This window comes from Homo sapiens, chromosome 4 (genome assembly GCF_000001405.40).
Source record: "Homo sapiens chromosome 4, GRCh38.p14 Primary Assembly".
NCBI classification, from domain to species: Eukaryota; Metazoa; Chordata; class Mammalia; order Primates; family Hominidae; genus Homo; species Homo sapiens.
The window spans coordinates 53,338,781-53,352,086 of record NC_000004.12 but is presented as its reverse complement, the minus strand read 5'-3'; the positions used below and the strand labels follow the sequence as shown (position 1 = coordinate 53,352,086).

General features: G+C 40.0%; 1 protein-coding gene across 8 annotated transcripts in view; it reads left to right on the top strand.

The window, feature by feature from the left end:
- Positions 1 to 13,306, top strand: part of SCFD2 (sec1 family domain containing 2) — a 493,080-nt gene that overhangs the window by 13,975 nt on the left and 465,799 nt on the right. The gene's annotated exons all lie outside the window — the stretch shown is intronic.

Genomic DNA, 13,306 nt, shown 5'->3' with positions numbered 1-13,306 from the left:
TTTAAAAAATAAGAATTTCTCCAGAAATGACAATGAAAATATATGATAGTCACTTTCTCAACTTTGTCCTTCATTAACAATTCTCTTGGGAATTACTCTTGTTTGAAAAAATAAAAGTATTAGAAGGGAAAAAAGTATGTAAGTGTATCTGTTTTTTATTTTCATGTTTTATATTTTTAAATAAAACAGGATCTTTCAGTATTATAGTTTTAAATCTTCACTGTAGCAGATGCATTTGGAATTTCCTCCCATATTTATTAATATAATTAGTATATGTAGCTCCTGAAGTTTTTAGCCTTTTTGTAGATATTTAAGAATACTTATTGGATACCCAATGTTTGTGGGTCAATGTGGGAAGAAAATGGGAAGTTCTAGACTTTTGTCCATTTGGTGTGTTTACACATACAATAAAAGCATAGGCCTAAAGGCTTGCAGCTCTACAAACCCAGAAGTAATGTGATTGGAAACACATTTAACTGTTCAGAGAGCCATTCAGAAGTTAATTATTAAGGACTTAACTGTGAGCCTTACTCTAGGTTAACTAACAGGAACGACATAAAATAATATATTATTATTCAAACACTCTTTTTGTTGGGGAGTCATGATTTATACCCAAGCATAATTTGAAAAGAATAGAAATGATATGAAGTTAAGATTAATGTATCTGCTATGGAGTATAATTTCTACAAGTATCAGGTTAATGTAGTCTTTGTAGATCAATGTAGACCTTGAGGAAGTGGCACTGCTTTAATTATGTCTTGAATGACTTAGAAAAGAGGAGGGGGTTGATGTGAACCAAAGTATAGAAACAAAAAATGGTCAGGGCCTGACGTCAGTGAGAGATGACCTCATTGGACCACTTCTGTCATCTGCTCTGTTCACATTTTTTGGGAGTTATGATGAGCTAGATACACTTCCAAGCATTTTACGTTTGGGAAATTAAGCTTTACAGTATCCTAATGAGGTAGATGTTGTTATTCCCCTATTTTATTGGTAAGGAAACTGAGGCAAAGAGACATTAAGTAACAGAGTTCGTGGGAGGTAGAGCTAGAAATGAGTCCAGAATGTTTGACTTTAGGCCAGGTACAATGGCTTATGCCTGTAATCCCAGCACTTTGGGAGGCTGAGGCTGGTGGATCACCTGAGGTCAGGAGTTTGAGACCAACATGGCCAACGTGGTGAAACCCTGTCTCTACTAAAAATACAAAAATTAGCTGGGCATGGTGGCAGGTGCCTGTAATCCCAGCTACTCAGGAGGCTGAGGCACGAGAGTATCTTGAACCTGGGAGGAGGAGGTTGCAGTGAGCCAAGATTGTGCCATAGCACTCCAGCCTGGGCAACAGAATGAGACTCCATTTCAGGAAAAAAGAAAAAGTTTGACTTTTGAGCCACTGTCTTAACTTCTATGCTATCTATGTGAAGGGTCCAGAGAAGAGCTAGGCTCTTGAATAGATTTAAAGAGATGACAGACAAAAATAAAGTTACTCTTTGAGTTAATTTGGGAGTCCTATGTTTTCAACATAGTGATTATACAAACAATGGAAATCAATTTTGGCTAATTTAAGCAATAAAGGGTTTTTAAAGGGTATTGGGTAGCTAAAAGAATGAAAGGAAGGATTATTAATCAGATTTTTGAAAGGACAAAATAGTTCTAGGAATATAGGAAGCAGAGGCTCAGGAAAAACCTGTTTAAGGCATTGACATTAGAGAGACTGAATTTTAACTGTTTTCTTTGAGTCCTTCTCCTTAAGATTCAGATTCTGGGGGAAATGGTAAGACTGACTTTTCTTGGCCATTGTGCCCACCTTTTGCCCAGTGTGGGTTGGGAGCTGTTTATACTGACTAGAATTATGCTAATATCATATGGCATGGCGGAGGGGTGGTTCTTCAAAGGAAAATGGAAACACTTATCAGAAGATGGGGGAACAGATGCTGGACATGCAAAAATAGTAGATGCCCCTTAGTAATAGCACACACTTACAGAGGACCTTTTGTGTAACAGGCATCATTCTGAGCACTTAATACATATTAACTTACGTACTTCTCACAATATCTCTATGAGGTGGATTCTCTTAGCGTCCCCGTTTATAGAAGACGAAGGAAGTTAAATAACATGCCTAAGGTAACGCATACAGTTAGACTTGGTGGAGGCCTATATTTGAACCCAGGCAGCCTGGCTCTAAAATTAGTGTTTACCATTACCCTGTGCCACTTCCACAGAAACCTAAGGTAATTACCAAAAAAATAAGTAAGCTCCCCAGAGGAGTTTGCTAAAAGAAAGAAGAGCCCATCATTGGACAGAGGTAAAGAAGCAAATTTTTAGAAGTGTAGTAGAACAAACATAGGTATAAAAGTATTTCAGTCCTATAAGTAATGTTTTGATTATAGTCACTTTATTTAACCTTGACTCCCCAGCACTGATTCTATTACAAGCTTAGACCAAGGCTAAGCCAATCTTGGAATCTCATTTCCCTTGGCAGTGATGCTTTAGAAATGGGCAAGTGACAAGAGAGAAAGTCTTAGGGCTTCTTGGTCAGGTTTCTTTGCTACTGACAAGAGACTCAATAGAAATATTCTTCCAGATGTGACCAATATGTCAGACATATTGAGTCTGATAACTGCTGCAGCTATCTTGCTCACATCTGGAAGTTAATGCTAACACGTGGAAGGTGGCCTTGCCAAGAGAACTGCAGAGAGGAGCAGCTATAAGCTCCTTGATGCACGATGTTTGGACGTCATGTTGTATGGGAGAATATATTTCCTGTTGTTTAAGCCAAATTTAGTTGCTGTTTTCTATCACTTGCAGACAAAGTCTTCATGACACATTTTTTACACCTCATTATTTCATCTTATAAAATGAGGGCATTGGCCTAAATGACTCCTAAGGCTTTTCTTGGGTTTAAAATAAAAATCGTTCCTAACTGAGCCCCTGCTGTGACTCAGCTCTGCCTCTCACTTAGGCTATGTTCATGTATACATATTTTGTCTCCATGGTCTTTGCCTTCATTCGCTGTCCTTTTCTTCTCATTAGACTATGAGTGAGTGTTATCATAGATTATGAGCTTTGAGTGCCATTCAAAAATCACACCTGTAATCCCAGCACTTTGGGAGGCCCAGATTGGTGGATCACTTGAGGTCAGGAGTTTGAGACCAGCCTGGTTAACATGGTGAAACCCCATCTTTACTTAAAAAAAAAATACAAAAATTAGCCAGGCATGGTGGCGCATGCCTGTAATCCCAGCTACTCGGGAGGTTGAGGCAGAAGAATCACTTGAATCTGGGAGGTGGAGGTTGCAGTGAGTTGAGATTGGGCCATGGCACTCCAGCCTGGGCAATAGAGTGAGACCCTGTCTCAAAAAAAAAAAAAAATATGGTCATAAGTGTCAAAGATGAGTCTAGAGGGATATAAATAAAGAAGAAAGCTTTAGAGATAGCAAGTTTGGTGAAATAGTGAAACCAGAAGTCAGGTTGTAAAAGATAAAGCGATAGGTGGTGAGAAAATTATAAACAAATAGAGGTCTAAAGCAATAACTGGGAGAAAAATGGTAGTTTTTTTCAATTGCTTGGAAGACTGAGGGAATTATGTTGATTAATTTATCTGCAAAAGAAGAATTGAAATAAATCACAACTTTCCTAGCACAATTTATATGTCTATCAAAACAATAATAACTACTACCTTCGACCAAACCTACCAGAAACTTCTCAATGAAATGAGAGTAAGGATAAAAATGTTAGTACTAAAAGGCAAAACAAATAAGTGCTTGGCAACAAATGTGCCTGCAATGGAAAAGTCTTTAAAAAGCAGTAAGCTTTGATAGTCAAAATTTATTTGCTAAGATAATTTTTATAAAAGGCTGTTTATAGCAATTGAAGTTACTGCCAATTTTTATAAAAGGCTGTTTATAATTATAGCAATTGAAGTTACTGCCAATGCAAATGAGAAATTGAGAACTTAAAATGCATTTTAACATGGCCTTCCAGTCCTTGTCTGTTGTTCTCTGGATTATGTGGAGTATTTCAACAAGAAGTAGGCAGAATCTTTTCTGCTTTTATGTTTTCCTCCTGTTGAAATGGGTTTTTATTCTGTGCCCCGCCTGGCTCCACTATCTCTAACCATTTTTAGGTCCTTAAATAACCTTCACCTGATGCCCTACTTGCATTTACTACATCTGCGCTTGGTGCTTCTGGCTCTGCGCTAACCCTGCACCTGCAGTGTTGCTGGTTCTGCTGGGTTCAGTATCTTTCTCTCCCATTGCTCTCTGTATGCCTTTTGGTGAAAGCCAAGACCTCACAATGGCCTACAATATTATGTGCCATCTGGCTTCCTGGTCCCCTCTGACTGTGTCTCTTCTTTTCTTCTTTGCAGCCACATAAGCTTCCTTGCTGTCCTTCCAATTGGACGTGCTGGGTCCTGCCTCAGGGCTTTGGCTCTTAAAGTTCCTCTGACTCAGATCATTATTCCTGCAGATACACACTTGGCACCATTTCCCTTTTTCCTTCTTAGTGGGGCCTTTCCTGTCCATCTTAGCACTTCATGTCCCCTTCCCTATTTCATTTTTTTTTCCTCCATAGCACTTACCACTTTCTAATATATTAATATTTATGTTGTATTTTGGTTTCTTCCTCTACTAGAGAGCTATGGAGAGAACTCTCCACTAGGGAGTTCCACGAGAGCAGGGATATTTATCTGATTTATTCACTGCTGCGTCCCCATTGCCAGGCACTCCCGGCATTCAAGAGATATTTGTTGAATGAACACATGGTGATGGATGCTGCCAGGGCAGGATCGGTGAGTGAAGTGAGGCTACTTGACTAAGACAGAGAGGGTGAAGCTGGAAGAGGGCATGGGGATCTCTAGACTCTGTGGAATGTTTTGAACACTGTCATTGGCTTAGTAAAAACATTTGCAAAAAAGGGGGAAACTATATTCACATTTGCTTATGACACATTAAATATATCTGGAGAATGTTTAAGACACTGATTACATTAGCTACCTCTTACACTGATGGCATTAGCTGCCTCTGTAGTGGAGTGCTGGGTGACTGGAGACACAGTGAGAAGTTAGTCAAATGAATGAGGATGGAGGCAGGAGGGAGATGTCTTACTACAAATATCAGTTTGAGTATTTTGAATTTTCAATCATGTGAAAGTTATTTGTTATTAAAAATAAATAGACATTGGGCTTAAATAAAAACATGATTTCCTTCTTAAGCTAGCTTAAGGTAGGGTTCTCACTTCTAGGAAAGAAAGTTGTTGTCTCTTACTTTGGAACCTCTACAAAGCTTCTCTCCCTTATATTGTCCTCCATCCTCACTGAACTGCTCTTCACTTTACAACTTCTATTAAAATGCCAGAACACTATACTATAATTGTTTACATGTCTCCTTCCTCCACTAGACTGTAAATTCTTTGAGAGTAGGAGATGTGCCCTGACACTTTTAAGATGTACTAGTGAACTGAGTACAGCAATCAATAAATGATTGAGTAAGTTGTAACATTAGACTTGAGGCCAAGGCTGGGGGTGGTGGCTCATGCCTGTAATCCCAGCGCTTTGGGAGGCCGAGACAGGTGGATCACTTGAGGTCAGGAGTTTGAGACCAGCCTAACCAACATGGTAAAACCCTTTCTCTACTAAAAATACAAAATTAGCCAGGTGTGGTGGTGCACACCTGTAATCTCAGCTACTTGGGGGGCTGAGGCAGAAGAATCGCTTGAACCCAGGAGGCAGAGGTTGCAGTGAGCAGAGATCGCGCCATTGCACTCCATCCTGGGCAACAAGAGTGAAACTCCCTCTCAAAAAAAAAAAAAAGAAAAAAAAAGATTTGAGGCCAAGTATAAAAATGGTGTCATAAATCCATGAAAAGCCTTATCTACTTCATTTTAGTACTTCAGTCATTGTCTACTATTGTTGATTGGTTTTTATATACTATACATATGAACATGTATAAATATCTTATTTCTTTTATTTATTTTTTAAACTTTTTTAAATTATACTTCGAGTTCTAGGGTACACGTGCACAACGTGCAGGTTTGTTACATAGGTATACATGTGCCATGTTGGTTTGCTGCACCCATCAACTCGTCATTTACGTTAGGTATTTCTCCTAATTGTATCCCTCCCCAAGCCCCCCCTAATCCACTCACAGGCCCTGGTGTGTGATGTTCCCCGCCCTGTGTCCAAGTGTTCTCATTGTTCAATTCACACCTATGAGTGAAAACATGTGGTGTTTGGTTTTCTGCCCTTGTGATAGTTTGCTGAGAATGATGGTTTCCAGCTTTATCCATGTCCCTGAAAAGGACATGAACTCACCCTTTTTTATGGATGCATAGTATTCCATGGTGTATATGTGCCACATTTTCTTAATTCAGTTGAAAATTGATGGACATTTAGGTCGGTTCCAAGTCTTTGCTATTGTAAATAGTGCCACAATAAACATACATGTGCGTGTGTCTTTATGGCAGCATGATTTATAATCCTTCGGGTATATACCCAGTAATGGGATTGCTGGGTCAAATGGTATTTCTACTCCTAGATCCTTGAGGAATCTCCACACTGTCTTCCACAATGGTTGAACTAATTTACACTCCCACCAACAGTGTAAAAGTTTTCCTATTTCTCCACATCCTCTCCAGCAGCTATTGTTTGATGATTTTTTAATGATCGCCATTCTAACTGGTGTGAGATGGTATCTCATTGTGGCTTTGATTTGCATTTCTCTGATGACAAGTGATAATGAACATTTTTTCATGTGTCTGTTGGCTGCATAAATGTCCTCTTTTGTGAAGTGTCTGTTCATATCCGTTGCCCACTTTTTGATGGGGTTGTTTTTTTTCTTGTAAATTTGTTTAAGTTCTTTGTAGATTCTGGATATTAACCCTTTGTCAGATGGGTAGATTGCAAAAATTTTCTCCCATTCTGTAGGTTGCCTGTTCACTCTTGTGGTAGTTTCTTTTGCTGTGCAGAAGCTCTTTAGTTTAAGTAGATTCCATTTGTCTATTTTGGCTTTTGTTGCCATTGCTTTTGGTATTTTAGTCATGAAGTCTTTGCCCATGCCTATGTCCTGAATGGTATTGCCTAGGTTTTCTTCTAGGGTTTTTATGGTTTTAGGCCTAATATTTAAGTCTTTAATCCATCTTGAATTAATTTTTGTATAAGGTGTAAGGAAGGGATCCAGTTTCAGCTTTCTACATGTGGCTAGTCACTTATCCCAGCACCATTTATTAAATAGGGAATCCTTTCCCCGTTGCTTGTTTTCTCAGGTTTGTCAAAAGTCAGGTGATTGTAGATGTGTGGTGTTACTTCTGAGGCCTCTGTTCTGTTCCATTGGTCTATATATCTGTTTTGGTACCAGTACCATGCTGTTTTGGTTACTCTAGCTTTGTAGTATAGTTTGAAGTCAGGTAGTGTGATGTCTCCAGCTTCATTCTGTTTGCTTAGGATTGTCTTGGCAATGCGGGCTCTTTTTTGGTTCCATATGAACTTTAAAGTAGTTTTTTCCAATTCTGTGAAGAAAGTCATTGGTAGCTTGATGGGGATGGCATTGAATCTATAAATTACCTTGGGCAGTATGGCCATTTTCGTGATATTGATTCTTGCTCTCCATGAGCATGGAATGTTCTTCCATTTGTTTGTGTCCTCTTTTATTTCGTTGAGCAGTGGTTTGTAGTTCTCCTTGAAGAGGTCCTTCACATCCCTTGTAAGTTGGATTCCTAGGTATTTTATTCTCTTTGTAGCAATTGTGAATGGGAGTTCACTCATGATTTGGCTCTCAGTTTGTCTGTTATCGGTGCATAGAAATGCTTGTGATTTTTGCACATTGATTTTGTATCCTGAGACTTTGCTGAAGTTGCTTATCAGCTTAAGGAGATTTTGGGCTGAGATGATGGGGTTTTCTAAATATACAATCATGTCATCTGCAAACAGAGACAATTTGACTTCCTTTTTTCCTAATTGAATATCCTTTATTTCTTTCACCTGCGTGATTGCCCTGGCCAGAACTTCCAACACTATGTTGAATAGGAGTGGTGAGAGAGGGCATCCCTGTCTTGTGCCAGTTTTCAAAGGGAATGCTTCCAGTTTTTGTCCATTCAGTATGATATTGGCTGTGGGTTTGTCATAGATAGCTCTTTTTGAGATACGTCCCATCAATACCTAATTTATTGAGAGTTTTTAGTATGAAGGGCAGTTGAATTTTGTCAAAGGTCTTTTCTGCATCTATTGAGATAATCATGTGGTTTTTGTCTTTGGTTCTGTTTATATGCTGGATTATGTTTATTGATTTGCATATGTTGAACCAGCCTTGCATCCCAGAGATGAAGCCCACTTGATGATGGTGGATAAGCTTTTTGATGTGCTGCTGGATTCAGTTTGCCAGTATTTTATTGGGGATTTTTGCATCGATGTTCATCAGGGATATTGGTCTAAAATTCTCTTTTTTGGTTGTGTCTATGCCCGGCTTTAATATCAGGATGATGCTGGCCTCATAAAATGAGTGAGGGAGGATTCCCTCTTTTTCTATCAGTTGGAATAGTTTCAGAAGGAATGGTACCAGCTCCTCCTTGTACCTCTGGTGGACTTTGGATGTGATTCTGTCTGGTCCTGGACTTTTTTTGGTGGGTAGGCTATTAATTATTGCCTCAATTTCAGAACCTGTTATTGGTCTATTCAGGGATTCAACTTCTTCCTGGTTTAGTCTTGGGAGGGTGTAAGTGTCTAGGAATTTATCCATTTCTTCTAGGTTTTCTAGTTTATTTGTGTAGAGGTGTTTATAGTATTCTCTGATGGTAGCTTGTATTTCTGTGGGATTGGTGGTGATAACCCCTTTATCATTTTTCATCACATCTATTTGATTCTTCTCTCTTTTATTAGTCTTGTTAGCGGTCTATCAATTTTGTTGATCTTTTCAGAAAACCAGCTCCTGGATTCGTTGATTTTTTTGATGGGTTTTTTGTGTCTCTGTCTCCTTCAGTTCTGCTCTGATCTTCGTTATTTCTTGCCTTCTTCTAGCTTTTGAATGTGTTTGCTCTTGCTTCTCTAGTTCTTCTAATTGTGATGTTAGGGTGTCAATTTTAGATCTTTCCTGCTTTCTCTTGTGGGCATTTAGTGCTATAAATTTCCCTCTACATACTGGTTTAAATGTGTCCCAGAGATTCTGGTATGTTGTGTCTCTGTTCTCATTGGTTTCAAAGAACATCTTTATTTCTGCCTTCATTTCGTTATGTACCCAGTATTCATTCAGGAGCAGGTTGTTCAGTTTCCATGTAGTTGAGCGGTTTTGAGTGAGTTTCTTAATCCTGAGTTCTAGTTTGATTGCACTGTGGTCTGAGAGACAGTTTGTTATAATTTCTGTTCTTTTACATTTGCTGAGGAGTGCTTTACTTCCAACTTTGTGGTCAATTTTGGAATAAGTGCAATATGGTGCTGGAAAGAATGTATATTCTGTGTATTTCAGTTAGAGAGTTCTGTAGATGTCTATTAGGTCTGCTTGGTGCAGAGCTGAGTTCAATTCCTGGATATCCTTGTTAACTTTCTGTCTCGTTGATCTGTCTAATGTTGACAATGGGGTGTTAACATCTCCCATTATTATTGTGTTGGAGTCTAAGTCTCTTTGTAGGTCTCTAAGGACTTGCTTTATGAATCTGGGTGCTCCTGTATTGGGTGCATATATATTTAGGATAGTTAGCTCTTCTTGTTGCATTGATCCCTTTATCATTATGTAATGGCCTTCTTTGTCTCTTTTGATCTTTGTTGGTTTAAAGTCTGTTTTATCCAAGACTAGGATTGCAACTGCTCCTTTTTTTTGTTTTCCATTTGCTTGGTAGATCTTCCTGCATCCCTTTGTTTTGAGCCTGTGTGTGTCTCTGCACGTGAGTTGGGTCTCGTGAATACAGCACAGTGATGGGTCTTGACTCTTTATCCAATTTGCCAGTCTATGTCTTTTAATTGGAGCATTTAGCCCATTTACATTTAAGGTTAATATTGTTGTGTGTGAATTTGATCCTGTCATTATGACGTTAGCTGGTTATTTTGTCCATTACTTGATGCAGTTTCTTCATAGTGTCGATGGTCTTTGCAATTTGGTATGTTTCTGCAGTGGCTGGTACCGGTTGTTCCTTTCCATGTTTAGTGCTTCTTTCAGGAGCTCTTGTAAAGCAGACCTGGTGGTGACAAAATCTCTCAGCATTTGCTTGTGTGCAAAGGATTTTATTTCTCCTTCACTTCTGAAGCTTAGTTTGGCTGGATATGAAATTCTGGGTTGAAAATTCTTTTCTTTAAGCATGTTGAATATTGGCCCCTACTCTCTTCTGGCTTGTAGAGTTTCTGCCGAGAGATCTGCTGTTAGTCTGATGGGCTTCCCTTTGTGGGTAACCCGACCTTTCTCTCTGGTGGCCCTGAACATTTTTTCCTTCATTTCAACTTTGGTGAATCTGACAATTATGTGTCTTGGAGTTGCTCTTCTCGAAGAGTGTCTTTGTGGCGTTTTCTGTATTTCCTGAATTTGAATGTTGGCCTGCCTTGCTAGGTTGGGGAAGTTTTCCTGGAAAATATCCTGCAGAGTCTTTTCCAACTTGGTTCCATTCTCCCTGTCACTTTCAGGTACACCAATCAGACGTAGATTTGGTCTTTTCACATAGTCCCATATTTCTTGGAGGCTTTGTTCATTTCTTCTCACTCTTTTTTCTCTAAACTTCTCTTCTTGCTTCATTTCGTTCATTTGACCTTCAATCACTGATACCCTTTCTTCCACTTGATCGAATTGGCTACTGAAGCTTGTGCATGTGTCATATAGTTCTTGTGCCATGGTTTTCAGCTCCACCAGGTCATTTAAGTACTTCTCTACACTGGTTATTCTAGTTAGCCATTTGTCTAATCTTTTTTCAAGGTTTTTAGCTTCTTTGTGATGGTTTCGAACATCCTCCTTTAGCTTGGAGAAGTTTGGTCATCTAAAGCCGCCTTCTCTCAACTTGTCAGTCATTGTCTGTCCAGCTTTGTTCCGTTGCTGACGAGGAGCTGTGTTCCTTTGGAGGTGAAGAGGTGCTCTGATTTTTAGAATTTTCAGCTTTTCTGCTCTGTTTTTTCCCCATCTTTGTGGTTTTATCTACCTTTGGTCTTTGATGATGGTGATGTACAATGGGGTTTTGGTGTGGATGTCCTTTCTGTTTGTTAGTTTTCCTTCTAACAGTCAGGACCCTCAGCTGCAGGTCTGTTGGAGTTTGCTGGAGGTCCACTCCAGACCCTGTTTGCCTGGGTATCAGCAGCGGAGGCTGCATAACAGCGAATATTGCAGATCGGCAAATGTTGCTGCCTGATCTTTCCTCTGGAAGCTTCGTCTCAGAGAGGCACCCAGCTGTGTGAGGTGTCCGTCGCCCCCTATTGGGAATTGCCTCACAGTTGGGCTACTCGGGGGTGAGGGACACACTTGAGGAGGTAGTCTGCCCGTTCTCAGATCTCAAACTCTGTGCTGGGAGAACCACTTCTCTCTTCAAAGCTGTCAGACAGTGACATTTAAGTCTGCAGAAGTTTTCGCTGCCTTTTGTTCAGCTATGCCCTGTCCCCAGAGGTGGAGTCTACAGAGGCAGGAAGGCCTCCTTGATTTGTGGTGGGCTCCACCCAGTTCTAGCTTCCAGGCTGCTGTGTTTACCTACTCAAGCCTCAGCAATGGTGGGCACCCCTTCCCCAGCCTCGCTGCCGCCTTGTAGTTTGATCTCAGACTGCTGTGCTAGCAATGAGCGAGGCTTTGTGGGCGTGGGACCCTCCAAGCCAGTCGCGAGATGTTATCTCCTGGTGTGCCGTTTGCTAGAACCGTTGGAAAAGTGCAGTATTAGGGTGGGAGTGACCCGATTTTCCAGGTGCCGTCTGTCACAGCTTCCCTTGGTTAGGGAATTCCCTGACCCCTTGCGGTTCCCAGGTAAGGTGATGCCTCACCCTGCTTTGGCTGTCGCTCGGTGGGCTGCACCCACTGTCCTGCCCCCACTGTCTGACAATCCCCAGTGAGATGAACCCGGTACCTCAGTTGGAAATGCAGAAATCACCTGTCTTCTGCGTTGCTCTCACTGGGAACTGTAGACTGGAGCTGTTCCTATTCGGTCATCTTGGAACCAATTCTGCCAGTTTGTTTTTGCTTGTTATATTTAGATCATTTAACAAAACTTTTGATATATTTGGATACCAGCCAACTATTTTAATTTTTGTTTTGTGTTTGTAGCCTCTGTTTTTCATTTATGTGTTTCTTTTATCCAGTCTTTCTGTGAGTTACTTGAACTTCTTTTTAGAATTTCATTTGATGTATGTAATAGCACTTTTTTTTTTCTTTTTTGAGACAGAGTCTCACTCTGTTGCCTAGGTTGGAGTGCAGTGGTGCAATCTTGGCCCACTGCAACCTCTGCCTCCCAGGTTTGAGCCATTCTCCTGCCTCAGCCTCCCGAGTAGCTGGGACTACAGGTGTGCACCACCATGCCTGGCTAACTTTTATGTTTTTTAGTAGGGACAGGTTTCACCATGTTGGCCAGGCTGCTCTTGAACTCCTGGCCTCAGGTGATCTGCCCGCCTCGGCCTCCCAAAGTGCTGGGATTACAGGCGTGAGCCACCACTCCGAGCCCTAACAGTGTTTTTAAATGTATCTTTTTATATTGTTTTTTCAGTAGTTACACTAGATATTACTTATAACAACTTATATATGTTGTATACATATATTATGTAATACATATTACATATATATAATATGTAATATACATTTACATATAATATGTATACATATATATGTAATAACATGTAATAACTTATCTCAATCTACTGATGTAATTTTAACTGTTTGAGTGAAGTATAGAAACATTAGCTCCCATAACTTCCCTTTACTCTCCCATACAAGTAATTTAGTCATCTTAATATTTCTGCTACTTACATTTAGAATCACATTTGAGTATAAGTTTTGTTTCCACCATCAAACAGTCTAGAAACCTGAAGTGAAGAAAAAAAGTTCATTGTATTTACTTATATTTTTCTCACTGTGTTCTTTTTTCCTCATATTTAAAGATTTCTTTTTTTTCTATTTAGAGAAATTCCTTTAGCTATTCTTTTAGAGTAGATCTGCTGCAACAAAATCTTTTAGTTTTCATTCATCTGAGAATATTTTGATATTTTCACTGGGTATAGGAGTCTGGGTTGGCAGTTTTTTCTCTTTCAGCACTTGAAAAATATACTGCTTTCGGCCAGGCGCGGTGGCTCACGCCTGTAATCCCAGCACTTTGGGAGGCCGAGGCGGGCGGATCACGAGGTCAGGAGATCAAGACCATCCCAGCTAAAACG